Source organism: Homo sapiens, chromosome 10 (assembly GCF_000001405.40).
Source record: "Homo sapiens chromosome 10, GRCh38.p14 Primary Assembly".
NCBI lineage: Eukaryota > Metazoa > Chordata > Mammalia > Primates > Hominidae > Homo > Homo sapiens.
In genome coordinates, this window is record NC_000010.11 from 7,461,143 (window position 1) to 7,474,440 (window position 13,298).

The 13,298-nt window shown below is 43.0% G+C and overlaps 1 long non-coding RNA gene across 20 annotated transcripts in view, besides 2 other annotated features; it reads right to left on the reverse strand.

Moving 5' to 3' along the window:
- The window catches only part of LINC02642 (long intergenic non-protein coding RNA 2642), a 28,558-nt gene extending 16,851 nt beyond the window's left edge, over positions 1-11,707 (reverse strand). The window contains exons 1-5 of one of the 20 annotated variants that reach the window (NR_184115.1): positions 10,769-10,898; positions 8,544-8,599; positions 8,292-8,451; positions 6,255-6,384; positions 2,167-5,178 (exon numbers count right to left, since the gene is read on the reverse strand). This is a non-coding gene — a long non-coding RNA (long intergenic non-protein coding RNA 2642). Of the gene's footprint in view, positions 1-2,166; positions 5,179-5,381; positions 6,385-6,701; positions 6,807-8,254; positions 8,452-8,543; positions 10,899-11,627 lie in introns of those variants that run through there. The other 19 variants (NR_184117.1, NR_184116.1, NR_184128.1 and 16 more) reach the window with 19 other exon arrangements.
- Positions 10,846-11,045: an enhancer, noted in NCBI's record as "active region_2978". NCBI's record gives its function as "activates an Ori minimal core promoter by ATAC-STARR-seq in GM12878 lymphoblastoid cells {active_cell/tissue: GM12878}" and the evidence as "EXISTENCE:reporter gene assay evidence [ECO:0000049][PMID:35858748]".
- Positions 11,056-11,155: an enhancer, noted in NCBI's record as "active region_2979". NCBI's record gives its function as "activates an Ori minimal core promoter by ATAC-STARR-seq in GM12878 lymphoblastoid cells {active_cell/tissue: GM12878}" and the evidence as "EXISTENCE:reporter gene assay evidence [ECO:0000049][PMID:35858748]".
- Positions 11,708-13,298: the final 1,591 nt, after the last annotated feature.

Genomic DNA, 13,298 nt, shown 5'->3' on the forward strand with positions numbered 1-13,298 from the left:
TCTTACCTAAGCCAGACGGAAAATAACATATTCCGGCTGAGTGTGGTGCCTCATGCCTGTAAACCCAGCACTTTAGGAGGCCGAGACGAGAGGCTCCCTTGAGCCCAGCAGGATGGGTAACATGGCGAGACTCTGTCTCCACGACAAAGTAAAAAATATTAGCCCAGTGTGGCAGTGCACACTTGTAGTCCCAGCTACTTGGGAGACCAAGGTGGGAGAATCACTTGAGCCCAAGAGCTCGAGGTTACAGTGAGTTATGATCAAGCCATTGCACTCCAGGCTGGGTGACAGAGAGAGACCCAGTCTCAAAAAGGGAGGGAGGGAGGAAGGGAGGGAGGAAGGAAGGAAGGAAGGAAGGAAGGAAGGGAGGGAGGGAGGGAGGGAGGGAGGGAGGGAGGGAGGGAGGGAGGGAGGAAGGAAAAAATGAGACGTTCTTAATAATTACACATAGAACACATTGATAACATTGATATAGTTAGGCGTGGCATTCCATGTAGATTACTAATTTGCAATAATTAGAACGCAGAGTCCCAGGTTGACTGACACATGGCCAGCAGTGTCGGTGCTGGGGAGAGCAGAGGCAGGAGGCAGAACAGACAGCAGGCGGGCTGGGCCAGTGGGCACAGACACAGCCGACCCTGAAGCGTCCCGTGCCTCAGTTTCCTCCTGCATACAGGAAGCTTAGATAATTGCGGAGGAATTGTCAGGTTCTAAAATGTTTTGAGGAACCTAAACACAGTAAAATACTACACAGAGACATTTAAAAACTAGGAAGGATAAGAAGCCACTTTAATAATACATTTCACCAGCCGGTTGTGGTGGCTCACGCCTGTAATCCCAGCACTTTGGGAGACCGAGGAGGGTGGATCACGAGTTCAAGAGATTGAGATCATCCTGGCCAACATGGTGAAACCCCATCTCTACTAAAAATACAAATATTAGCTGGGCGTGGTGGTGCATGCCTGTAGTCCCAGCTACTCAGGAGGCTGAGGCAGGAGAATTGCTTGAACCTGAGAGGCGGAGGTCGCAGTGAGCCAAGATTGTGCCACTGCACTCCAGTCTCAGTGACAGAGCAAGACGCTGTCTCATAAAAAAATAAATAAATTTCATCAAAAATTATTCCATTGACATCATAATTTAGGATAAGTAGCTGACATAGATAAAATGCCAGAATGCCAGAAAATATCAGACGATTTCCAGTGTCCTACCAAGTAGAATAACATTTTTTTTTTTGAGACAGAGTTTCACTCTTGTTGCCCAGGCTGGAGTGCAATGGCACCGTCTCGGCTCACTGCAACCTCCGCCTCCCAGGTTCAAGCGATTCTCCTGCCTCAGCCTCCCAGGTAGCTGGGATTACAGGAGCCCTCCACCACTCCTAGGTAATTTTGTATTTTTAGTAGAGACGGGGTTTCATCATGTTGTCCAGGCTGGTCTCGAACTCCTGACCTCAGGTGATCCGCCTGCCTTGGCCTCCCAAAATGCTGGCATTACAGGCGTGAGCCACCATGCCCGACCTAGAATAACATTTTTAAGTTATTTAAGTAGTAGCATGGAATATGTAGCATGTAGTATGTAGTATGTGAACACCATGTAACATTCAGCTGCCCGGAGCCCTCTGCCTGAAGTTCCAACATTCTCTAAGCTGCCCGTAGCCACAGCAGAGTCATAGTGGAGTTTTTATCTCTACTGAGGCAAGGCTAAAGCTCTAAAACAGACAATATATCTCTTTGCCTACGAAACCACCCAGGAGAAAGAAAGCACTATCTGCAATAAAAGGGCACTGTTTTGCAGGTTCCTGGCATAAAGGCAAGGGCCCTGCTCTGGGAGGTCAGAGAACCTGGATCCAAGCCTTCAACAAATATATAGTCAGCATCTGTGAGGTGCCAGGCCCTATGGGGAGCCCTACATCATGCAATTCAAGCGAAAGAAAAACCCTGTCCACAAAGAATTCACAGTTCAGAGTGTGAGGCTGGCAAGTAAACAGCCCCAAAGTACCACGTGGGCCATAGGCATTAGAAGGCACTAAGTACGGGGTGCCCTGGTACCTTGTGGGGTTAGGGCAGGGGTGTCCAATCTTTTGGCTTCCCTGGCCACATTGGAAGAAGAAGAATTGTCTTGGGTCACACTCAAAATACACTAACACTAATGAAAGCCGATAAGAAAAAATAAATGCGAAAAAATTCATGTTTTAGGAAAGTTTACAAATGTGTGTTCAGCTGCATTCAAAGCCATCCTGGGCTGCATGCGGCCTGTGGGTCACAGGTTAGACAAGCTTGGTTTAGGGGATTTTCACAGAAATTGTGCCAGGGTACATGACTGCCATGCTGAGAGGGACAGACAGAAGACTGGGGTGGTGGTGGCAGGATCAGTGTCTGGAATCCGGCTTGTGGTGGAGACGGCTGTGCGTGTCTCCTCCTCTCCAGATGGGAGCAGGACATCTCACGGACTCACGGGCTACTTCGGGCAAATTTTACCACACCTGGGCCTCAATGTCTTCATCCATGAAAGAGGGATGAATAAAATGATTCCTTTCAGACATGAATGTATGAGAAATTCTTAAACATATTTTTCACATCTCTCCTTTCTTTCTTTCTCTCTCTCTCTCCCTTCCTTCCTACCTTCCTTCCTTCCTTCCTTCCTTCCTTCCTTCCTTCTTTTCTCTCTCTCTCTGTCTCTGTCTCTCTCTTTCTTTCTTTCTTTTTGGCAGAGTTTCACTCTTGTAACCCAGGCCGGAGTGCAGTGGTGTGATCTCGGCTCACTGCAACCTCAGCCTCCTGGGTTCAAGCAATTCTCCTGCCTCAGCCTCCCAAGTAGCTGGGATTACAGGCACCCGCCACCATGCCTGACCTCAGGTGATGCACATGCTTTATCCTCCCAAAGTGCTGGGATTACAAGCATGTGAGCCACTGTGCCCAGCTACATCTCTCCTTTCAAGAACTCATTCATTATTCATTCTATTTTTCTTTTTTTGGAGAGTCTCACTCTATTGCCCAGGCTGGAGTGCAGTGGCAGGATCATAAGTCACTGCAGCCTCACCCTCCTAGGCTCAAACAATCTTCCCCCCTCAGCCTCCCGAGTAGCTGGGACTCACTGCAGCTCAGCTGCAAATGCACACAATCAATCCCCCTCCCCGGCTAATTTTTTAATTTTTGTGTAGAGGCGGGGTTTCACCATGTTTCCCAGGCTGGTCTTGAACTCCCGAGCTCAAGCGATCCTCCTGCCTCAGTCTCCAAAAGTGCTGGGATTACAGGAGTGAGCCACTGCGCCCAACCAAGAACTCATTCATTAAAATGCTTTTCCTCTTTCCCACTCAAAAGATGATGCCTTGCATTGTTTGCCTTAAAAGTTAAAATTAAGATAAAGACTTAGCACTAGACTGGGAATTAAGTGCCCACATAAAACCAAGTTATTCATCAGTGTATAGAACTTGTTGTTCATATAATGAAATTACATTTTGCAAACCCTGTTTAACTTTATGCAACCAGAGTATCAGAAAAAAAAAAACAAAAACAAAAACTAGCCAAAATGCTGGCTAAGTGACTCTGGAGACAAGCATTACAGGAATCCCAAGGACATTCTGATACAAACCAGACAACTGTATGTAGAGGATGATTTATTGGAAGTGGGCTGGGTTTGTGCTTCAATACTTTGGGAGCTGCGGCCTTGACTTGGAAAGGTCTCCTTGGAAACGTGTCAGGGAGGCAGCCAAAAGTGGGGAGAAGGCTCATGTGGAAACCATGTCGTGGGGCTCACAGCCGGGGAGAGTTGGGAAGTCTTGTTTCCTTTCTTGTGATTATTCCCCAGTGTCTCATTTCCACTTTTAGTTCCCCTCTCTCCACCAAACCCCCCACGCCATTGTCACAGGATTCAGAAGTCGAGGCCAAGAGAAAAAGAAGGGGAAGTATAGAGAAAAGGAGAGTAGAGACGATCGCAAAAGGAAAGTTGGTAAAAGAGAATTGAGGAAAAGGGCAACTCAGAGAAGGGAGGAGAGGAGCAGACCAGGCACTGCCTACCAAAATACTGAAAACAAGACTATAAATAATGTGGGTTAAAAAAAAATAGGTGTATGTTCATTGTAGCACTCTTCACTATAGCAAAGACATGGAACCAACCCAAATGCCCATCAATGATAGAATGAATAAAGAAAATGTGATGCATATATACCATGGAATACTATGCAGCCATAAAAAAGAATGAGATCATGTCCTTTGCAGGAACATGGATGGAGCTGGAAGGCATCACCCTCAGCAAACTAACACAGGAACAGAAAACCAAACACTGCATGTTCTCACTCATAAGTGGGAGCTGAACAGTAAGAACACATGGACACAGGGAGGGGAACAACACACACTGGGACCTGTCGGGGGTGGGGGGTTGGCAGGAGGGAGAGCATTAGGACAAATGGCTAATGCATGTGCGGTTTAATACCTAGGTGATGGGTTGATGGGTGCAGCAAACCACCATGGCACAAGTTTACCTATGTAACAAACCTGCATGTCCTACACATGTACCCCAGAACTTAAAATGAAAATTTTAAAACACAGGTGCTTTTGTTTAAGAGTAGAGCAAACTTGTGGTGTGAGTGCCAGGGATAGAGGAAGGCAGGAATGGGCAGGACGAGCTCCTCCTTGGCTCTCACCCTCTGGGATTAGGGAAATCTAGATTTTCAGAGCGCTGAGTTGTGCTCGATGGAATTTTTATTCTTGGGCCCTGAGGTACCTTTATCTTTATGCTAAGCGGTCATATTGATGTCTACGGTCCAGCAACAACAGGAAATCTTAAGGTTTTGCTCAGCTAGACTTCTTCAGAATGCATGTGATACATTGCTCTTTCTATCCAGAAATACATTTCTATTTCACCCACACTCTCTGCAGGAGAGTGCATAGAGGGTATTTTGCTCAATCTAGAACATCCATTCAATGTACAAACCTCATATACCTGCTTCCTCAAAGAACATTATGAAGTCTGTATCAAAAGCCTCCTCTTTTGTAATGGAGTTAAACATTATTTTCATTCTTCACTTAACCTTGGCCTGTTGAAAACTTGTACAGCAAATGTTAAGGTTTAATAAACGAACAGAAAATCCTTGAAACTTCTGAATGTGTACTCAAGTACTCTCTGTGACTTCCTGATCTTGATGTCAGAGATGTTTCTTTGCCTGTTTCTTTGTCTTTGTATCTAAAAGTATAGGAAATATATGGATTTAGAGCACATTATTCCCCGCAGGGCAAATTCTCACCCTTGATCACCCTGGGAAGAAATCTAATACACATGATTCATTCTTATTATCGTCCTATGAAGCAAGCAGTGTTCCAGAAAAAGCTCAGTGCAGTCAAACAGCCTTTTATCTGTGATTTATCCAAATAATTTGTTATCATTTACCCCTTCTATGACATTTATTTTCTCATCCACTATTAGTATAGATTTTTAAAGCAAAATAAATCAGATATTGAAAAAAGCATAGAGAATAATATAAAGAACATCCGTTAGTTTGCCACTGAACTTAAGAGTGAAAACATTTTGCAGATACAACTGTGTATTCCTTACACATCCTCTTGCCACCCGTCTTCCCCCAAGCCCCATTCTCCTCAGTCTGACATTATTCCCTGGACACCTTTATATTTTTACTAATACATGTATGGGTATTCGTTAGGATAAAGATGAAACTGTTGTAGCAACAGAAGTCCAAAATATACCAGCTTGAATAAGATAGAAATGTATTTCTGCTCCAACATTTCCTTTAGGTTCCTTCTTTTTTTTTTTTTTTTTTTTCTCAGTACCCACTACAGCATTATCCTTGTCTGCAGGTTTGAGGATGGATCTGCTCCCAGGGAGGGCGAGACAAGTGCACCTAGGTTGCCGGAAGTTGTACGCATCACTTCTGCTGGTATCTGTTAGCCCAACCCAGGCCACGTGGACTCTCCCAGATGCCAGAGACCATGAGAAGAAGAAGAGAAAGGGCTTGGAGAAGGATGGACCACTCACCATTTGCTGGAATAAACAATACTGCAGTCCTTGTTTTAACACTTCATTTTCATCATGCCACACTGTCGGTAACTGAATAACGGCCACCCACAGATGTCAGGGCTTATCCCTGGAACCCGGAAATGGTGTTTGCAGATGGGAGTGAAAGCAGGTCTTTGCAGAAGGGATCAAGTTAGGGATCTTGAGATGGGAAGAATTTCCTGGATTGTCCTGCTAGACACTAAATACACCTTATCCTAATCAAAGAGGCCGAGGGAGGTTTTACTCACACAGCAGAGGAGGAGGTAGAGCTGGAACAGACAAGGAAGGGATTCTCCCTGAGAGCCTCTGGCACGGGCAGCCCTTCAAACACCTCCATGTGTGCCCAGTGAAACTGATTTCCAACTCCGGCCTCCAGAACTGTGAGAGAATAAATTGGTTATTTTAAGCCACCAAATGTGTGGCAAGTTGTTACAGGGAAGGAATAAAGTTATCTGAGTCTTTCCTTTTTTACTCAACATTATGATTTTGAGGCCTTTCCATATTGATACATGTAGTTATAGTTAATTCACTTTCTTACACGAACAGGTTAACAGATTTCCAAGGTTTTTTTTTCCAATTTATCATTATTTCAAAAAAAAGAAAAAGCCCTGCTGCTATAAAAATTCTTGTACATAAAAAAAAATTCTTGTACATGTTGTCTGGTCTAAATGCAAAGATTTCCCTAGAACATGTACCTGGGAATGGAGCAGTCGGTTTGCAGGGTACGTAGGTCTCTAACTTGAATAGGTGTTTCAATTGTTCTCTGAAGAGCAGTAGCATATAAGCGTTCTCCTAATTCCCTGACAACAATAGGTATTAACAGACTTTTAAATTATTGCCAGTCCATTGGGCATAAATAGGTATCTCATTGCTTTTTAAATTTCCATTTCTATCTGTGAAGTCAAGAATCTTTTTCTATTGAGCTAAGCCAGTCCATCAAGACTGGTCCAGGTTTTGAAGACTGGCAAGAAGAAAGCCTAGACTAATTTATGTTGCTTTCACTTAATTTTACCACCAAATGGGCAAACAATCAGGGCAAAGGCTTAGGAGATAGGATCCACAGGGCACTGCCATTAGGCAAGTCCTGGCTATGCCACAGGTGCCTAGTCAACACTATGTCATCGGGTATGTGACAGGCCTGGCATAGCCCAACACACATGTTTATTGCCTTAAAACAGAATTTTTTAAAATACAGATTTTAAAAATGTATTACTTACTTTGAAGAAATGAGTTTTGATTTTATGATGTTTTTCATATTTTTATCATATCATATTTTCTGACCATTAAAGAACCACTGGGATGAGGTTGAAGTAACAAGAAACTTCCCAGAATGGGGCTATGATATCAAAATAATAAGGCCAATATTGAACATGGTTAGGTGTGTGCAGATAGTATATTAAGAATGCAGATTTAGGGTGGGCGCAGTGACTCACGCCTGCAATTCCAACACTTCGGGAGGCCAAGGCAGGTGTATCACCTGAGGTCAGAAGTTCGAGACCAGCCTGAACCAACATGGTGAAACCCCATCTCTACTAAAAACACAAAGATCAGCCAGCCATGGTGGGCGTCTGTAATTCCAGCTATTCAGGAGGTTGAGGCAGGAGAATCACTTGAATCTGGGAGGCGGAGGTTACAGTGAGCCAAGATCGTGCCATTGCATGCCAGCCTGGGCAACAGAGCAAGACTCCATCTCAAAAAAAAAATATGCAGATTTAAAAAGAAAACTTAAAGGAAAGTCAAGCATGGTGCCACCGAGACGATGACCGAAGCTGGTGCTATTTAAAAAGGCAAAGTGCTATCAAAATCACATGTGATCTCTACAAAAAGGAAAAGGGGAAAGTGTCTGCATCCTCCTTCATGGGAGACAGAATGTCTGGTTCTGCTCAGATTCTCAGGGGGTATATTTTTAGATGAGAAGGAGAATACCAAGAATGCATGATCAGCACTCCTGGAATCCAAAAACACATCCCAGGGGGAATGGCATGGATTAGTGCCATCCTTAAGATGTCGGGGGGATGGTGCAACACCAAAGGTTTCTAGCACATTCCCATCTAATCCACCAGGCAGACCTCTGCAAAAGCCAGATGGATAAAGAGAGAGGTCAGTGGGCTATCCCTACAAACTTAACCAGGTTGTAACTTCAGTGGCAGCTGCTGTGCCAGATGTGGTATGTTTATTAGAGCAGATTACACAGCCCTGGGCACGTGGTACACAGCTATTAACATGACCAACGTACTTCTTTTCATACCCATCAATAAAGGGAATCCAAAGAAGTTCACATTCACCTGGGATGGATAGTAGCACACATTCGCAGTCTTGCCCAGGTTTTGGTTAATTTTCCTGTTCTCCATCGTAATATAATCTGAAGGGTCCTGGACCATCCGGACACTCCACAGATAATCAATCGCATGGATCCATATATTGGTGACACCATACTAATTGGACCTAATGAGAAAGCAGTGGTAAGTGATCCGAGTACTGTAGTGAGAAACTTACATTACAGGAAATGTGAGATAAACCCTTAAAGATTCAGGTACCTGCTTCATTTGGGGAGTTTTTAGGAATCCAGTCGTCTGAGACATGATACAGCATCCTCTCAAAAATAAAGAACAAGACACTGCATTTTGTACATTGTACCATTAAGAACAAAACGCAATGCTTGACAGGTCTATGGAAAGCAGCATATTCCATGCTTGTCACACTGCTTGAATCTGTTTACCTAGAGACACGGAAAGCTGATGGCTCTGACTGGGGTGAGCAGTTAGTTAATGGATTCTGTAGCAAGTCCAGGCTGCAGTACAAACAGCCCCGATGCCTGCACCCCAATACCTAGCAGATCTCACAGCCCTAGAGTTATCTGTGGTCCAAAAAGGAACCATATGGACTTTCTGACAAGCCCCTGTAGGAGAGTCACTATGAAAACCCTTAGAGTTCTACAACAAGGCCATGCAAGCTCCCGCAAAGAACCACACATCATCCACAAAGCACCCCAGGTGTGCTACCGAGCTCTGGTCAGAACCGAGCATCTGGTCAAGACATATCAAGCGATCATGCAGTCAGAATTGCCATCCTGAGCTGGGCAAGTTGTAAGGTGGTGTGGCCCCAACAGCAAGGGGGGTCATTGTAAAATGAAAGTTGTACTTGAGACATGGAAGTTCTCAGGAGGAACGCTAGGCTGCTTTGGATATGAAAATTAATCAAGGTAATACACTTATCTGTATATTAATAAAGAACAAAAACCACATGACCATTTCAAGAGATGCAGAAAAGAGCATTTGACAAAATCCAACACCCTTTCATGATAAAAACACTCAACAGACTGGGAATACAAGGGAATTTCCACAACCTGATTACAGTTAAAAGGCATCAAGCAAAAACCCACAACAAACATCCTTAAAGGTAAAAGATGAAATGCCTCCCCCCAACATCAGGAACCAGAGAAGCATATCTGCTCTCACGACTTCTACTGAATCTTGCACTGGAGGGTTTGGCCAGGGTAATTAGGCAAGGAAAAGAAAGAAAAGGCATCCAGATCGGAAAGGAAGTAAAATCATCTATTCACAGGTGACATGAATTTGAGTACAGAAAATCCTGAAGAATCCACAGAAAGCTAACAAATGAGTTCAGCAAGGTTACAGGGTGCAAAATCAATATACAAAAATCAACTGTATTTCTACACACTAGCAATGAACTCCAGCCTGTGCGACTCAAAAAAAAAAAAAAAAAGGAAAAAAGAAGAATGCAGTTTTAAAAAGAAAACTTAAAGGAAAGTCAAGCATGATCCCACTATCTGAGATGATGACTGAAGGTGATGACCGACCATTTTCTTACTTTCCCCTGAAAATTAAAATAAGAAAACAATTCCATTTACAGTAGCATAAAATATACTTAGGAGAATTTAACAAAAGAAATACAAAACTGTGCACTAAAAACTGCAGAACAGTGTTCAGATATATTAAAGATGACCTAAATAAGTGGAAAGAAATCCTGCATTCATAGACCAGAAGAATTAATACTGTGATGATGGCAATTTTCCCCAAATCAGTCTACAGATTCAACACAATCTCTATCAAAATCCTGACTGCCTTTTTTTTCTTTTTGCAAAAACGGACAAGCTGATCCCAAAATTCACATAGAAATGCAAAGGGCCCAAAATAACAAATACAACTTTGAAAGAAGAAGAACAAAGTGAGAAGACTCACACTTCCCAATTTTAAAACTTGCTACAAAGCTACAATAATCAAGACAGAGTGGTACTTCCATAAGGATAGAGATTTAGATCAGTTAAATAGAACTGAGTGTCCAAAAATAAATCCTTACATTTGTGGTTGGGTAATGTTTGAAAAATGTGCTAAGACAATTCAATGGGGGAAAGAAGAGCTTTTTCAACAAATGATTCTGGGACAACTGAATATCTAGATGAAAAAAAAAATGGATTTGAACCCCTACTTCTCACTATCCATAAAAATGAACACAAAAGGGATCAAAGACTTAAATGTAGGTGCTAAAACTGTAAAACTGCGAGAAAAACACAAAAACATAAGTCTCCATGACCTGAAGGGTTAGGCAATAGTTTCTTTTTCCCCAGAAAGTCTGGCTGACCTTAAAAGAGCCTGCTTCACACAGCATTAAAGATCTGTTTCACACCTGATGCATTACTCTTGCAATAGGCAGGGCTGTCTATGCTATCCTTGTAACATAACTCTTGCTGTGGCTGAAATGAACACACTTAGGCGGTGTACACACACACATACACACATACAGCATGGTCGCAGCCACTCATAAAGCCTGGATCAGTCTCTTCAAATCCTACATGGGCTTCAGCCTAGATAGTCACTGGGAACAGCAACCTCTCAGGGTTAAGCCAGGAACACTACAGTCATGCTGATCCTGAAACTGTTTCAAATATAGCCTGGAGTATTTAATACCTTTATAAACGGAAATGAAACTGGGTTAAAATAACGACCCAAACCAGATGGCGCAAATGTTCTGTTCTCTTCAGAAACTGAAAGAGGAACAAAAAAGAGACTCCTTCCCAAGGGAGCAGGTGCAGCTGCTGGGGAGCATCGGGGCTTTTCCTGAGCGCTGCAGACACCTACAGCCTGGGACCACGTGCTGCTCAGAATGCTCATTCTCTGATTTGTAAGCAATTAATATGGCTGTGACAGCAGCAATCCGGACACAGCAATGCAGAATTCTCAACACAATTCTACTTCCTAGCTCTAGTATTTGCTGAAATGTGCAACAACATGTTCTATAAATCAACTAAAATTTGTTGAGTGTTTACTGTGAGCCAGACACTGTTGTACCAGTATTACTGCAGTAACTCATTTAATCCTTACAACAATCTTACGAGATGGATTCATTTTTCCAAAAATGTACATTGAAACCTAAGCAAGTTAAGTAATATGCCCAATTCATAGAGCTTCTCACCAGAGTTTGGATTCAGGTCATCTGACTCCATAAGCCAGGTGTTTAGCCCTTACTCTCTTTTGCCAAACTGCTAGAATTATAAAAAAAACTGCAAAATGAAATCATTCATTCCTTGGTGTATTTGTTTTCTATTGTCACATTACCAGAAATTTAGCGGCTTTTAAAATAACACAAATTTATTTACTTACAATTTTGAAGATCAGAGTTTGGGGCTAAAATCAAACTGTTGGCAGAGCTTCATTCCTTCTTGAGGCTCTAAAGGAGAAGCTATTTCTTTACCTTTTGCAGCTTCTAAAGGCCGCCTACGTTCGTTAGCTGGTAGCCCCCTCCTCCATCCTCAGAGCTCGTCACTACAGCCTCTGATTTTGCCTCTGCATCTCCTTTCTCACCCTGACTGTCCTGCCAGTCTCTTATCAGGACCCTTGTGATTACACTGGGTCCCACTGAATAATCTGGGATAACCTCCCCATATCAAGTTCCTTAACTCAATCACATCTGCAAAGTCCCTTTGCCATCTAAGGTAACAGATTCACAGGTTCCAGGCCCTGGGATATGGACATCTTTTGGGGATGGTCATTATTCTAACACAAATAAGGAACTAATAAGCCCACCCATGTATCTGCATCATATGTTTCTTAAAAAGAAAAAGAAAAGAAAGAAGAATAAAACACAAGTCTGCAAGTTCATAAAGCACTTAGAAACTATCGGTGGTCAATATGGGGGTCACGTGGAATTGTCCACAATGTCTACTTCTTGGTAGGTTTGTACAAAATCAACAACTGTGAAAAGTTTCACATTAAATTCAAAATCAATAGCAGAGAGAGTTGAGAAAATCCCAAATATGTGGAATTAAACAATACATTCCTAATAACCAATGAATCAAAGAAAAAAAATCACAAGGGAAATTTGAAAATACTTACAGATGAAGGAAAATGAAAATACAACATACAAAAACATATGGAATGCCACAAAAGCTGCTCATAGCAGCAGCATTATTCATTATAGACAAAAAAAGTGGAATAATTCAAATGGCCATTAAATGATGAATGGATAAACAAAATGTGGTATATTCAAACAATGGAGTATTATTCAGCCATTAAAAAGGAATGAAGTGTTGAGACATGTTATGACATGAATGAACCTTGAAAACACCCTGCTCAGGGAAAGGAGCCAGGCACAAAAAGCCACATATTATGATTCCATTTATATGCAATGTCCAGAATAGGCAAATCCATAGAGACAGAAGGTAGGTTAGCAGTTGCCAGGGGCTGGGGGGAGGGAGGAATGGGGAGGACCTTGGTGCCTCACCAGAGCACACACCAGCTAACCTGTGATGGCCATGTGGCATGAATGAGAAACAGACATTTGCTGTTTTATTTAATTTTTTAATTTTTTTTGGGGGAGGGGGACAGAGTTTTACTCTTGTCACCCAGGCTGGAGTGCAATGGCGTGATCTCGGCTCACTGCAAACTCTGCCTCCTGGGTTCAGGTGATTCTCCTGCCTCAGCCTCCCGAGTAGCTGGGACTACAGGAATCTGGCACCACACCCAGCTAATTTTTTTTTATTTTTATTTTTAGTAGAGATGGGGTTTCACCATGTTGGTCAGGCTGGTCTTGAACTCCTGACCTCAGGTGATCTGCCCACCTCGGCCTCCCAAAGTGCTGGGATTACAGGCATGAGCCACCGCGCCCAGCCCATTTGCTGTTTTAAACCAGTGAGATCTGGGGCCTTGTTTATTATCATGGAATTCTAGTCCGTCCTGATTAACAGAGGGTAATGGATAACCCGAGGGCATTTTTCCAATATCCCAAAGGGATGGATAATTAATTACGCCCCCCCCCCCTTCTATTTGGAAATT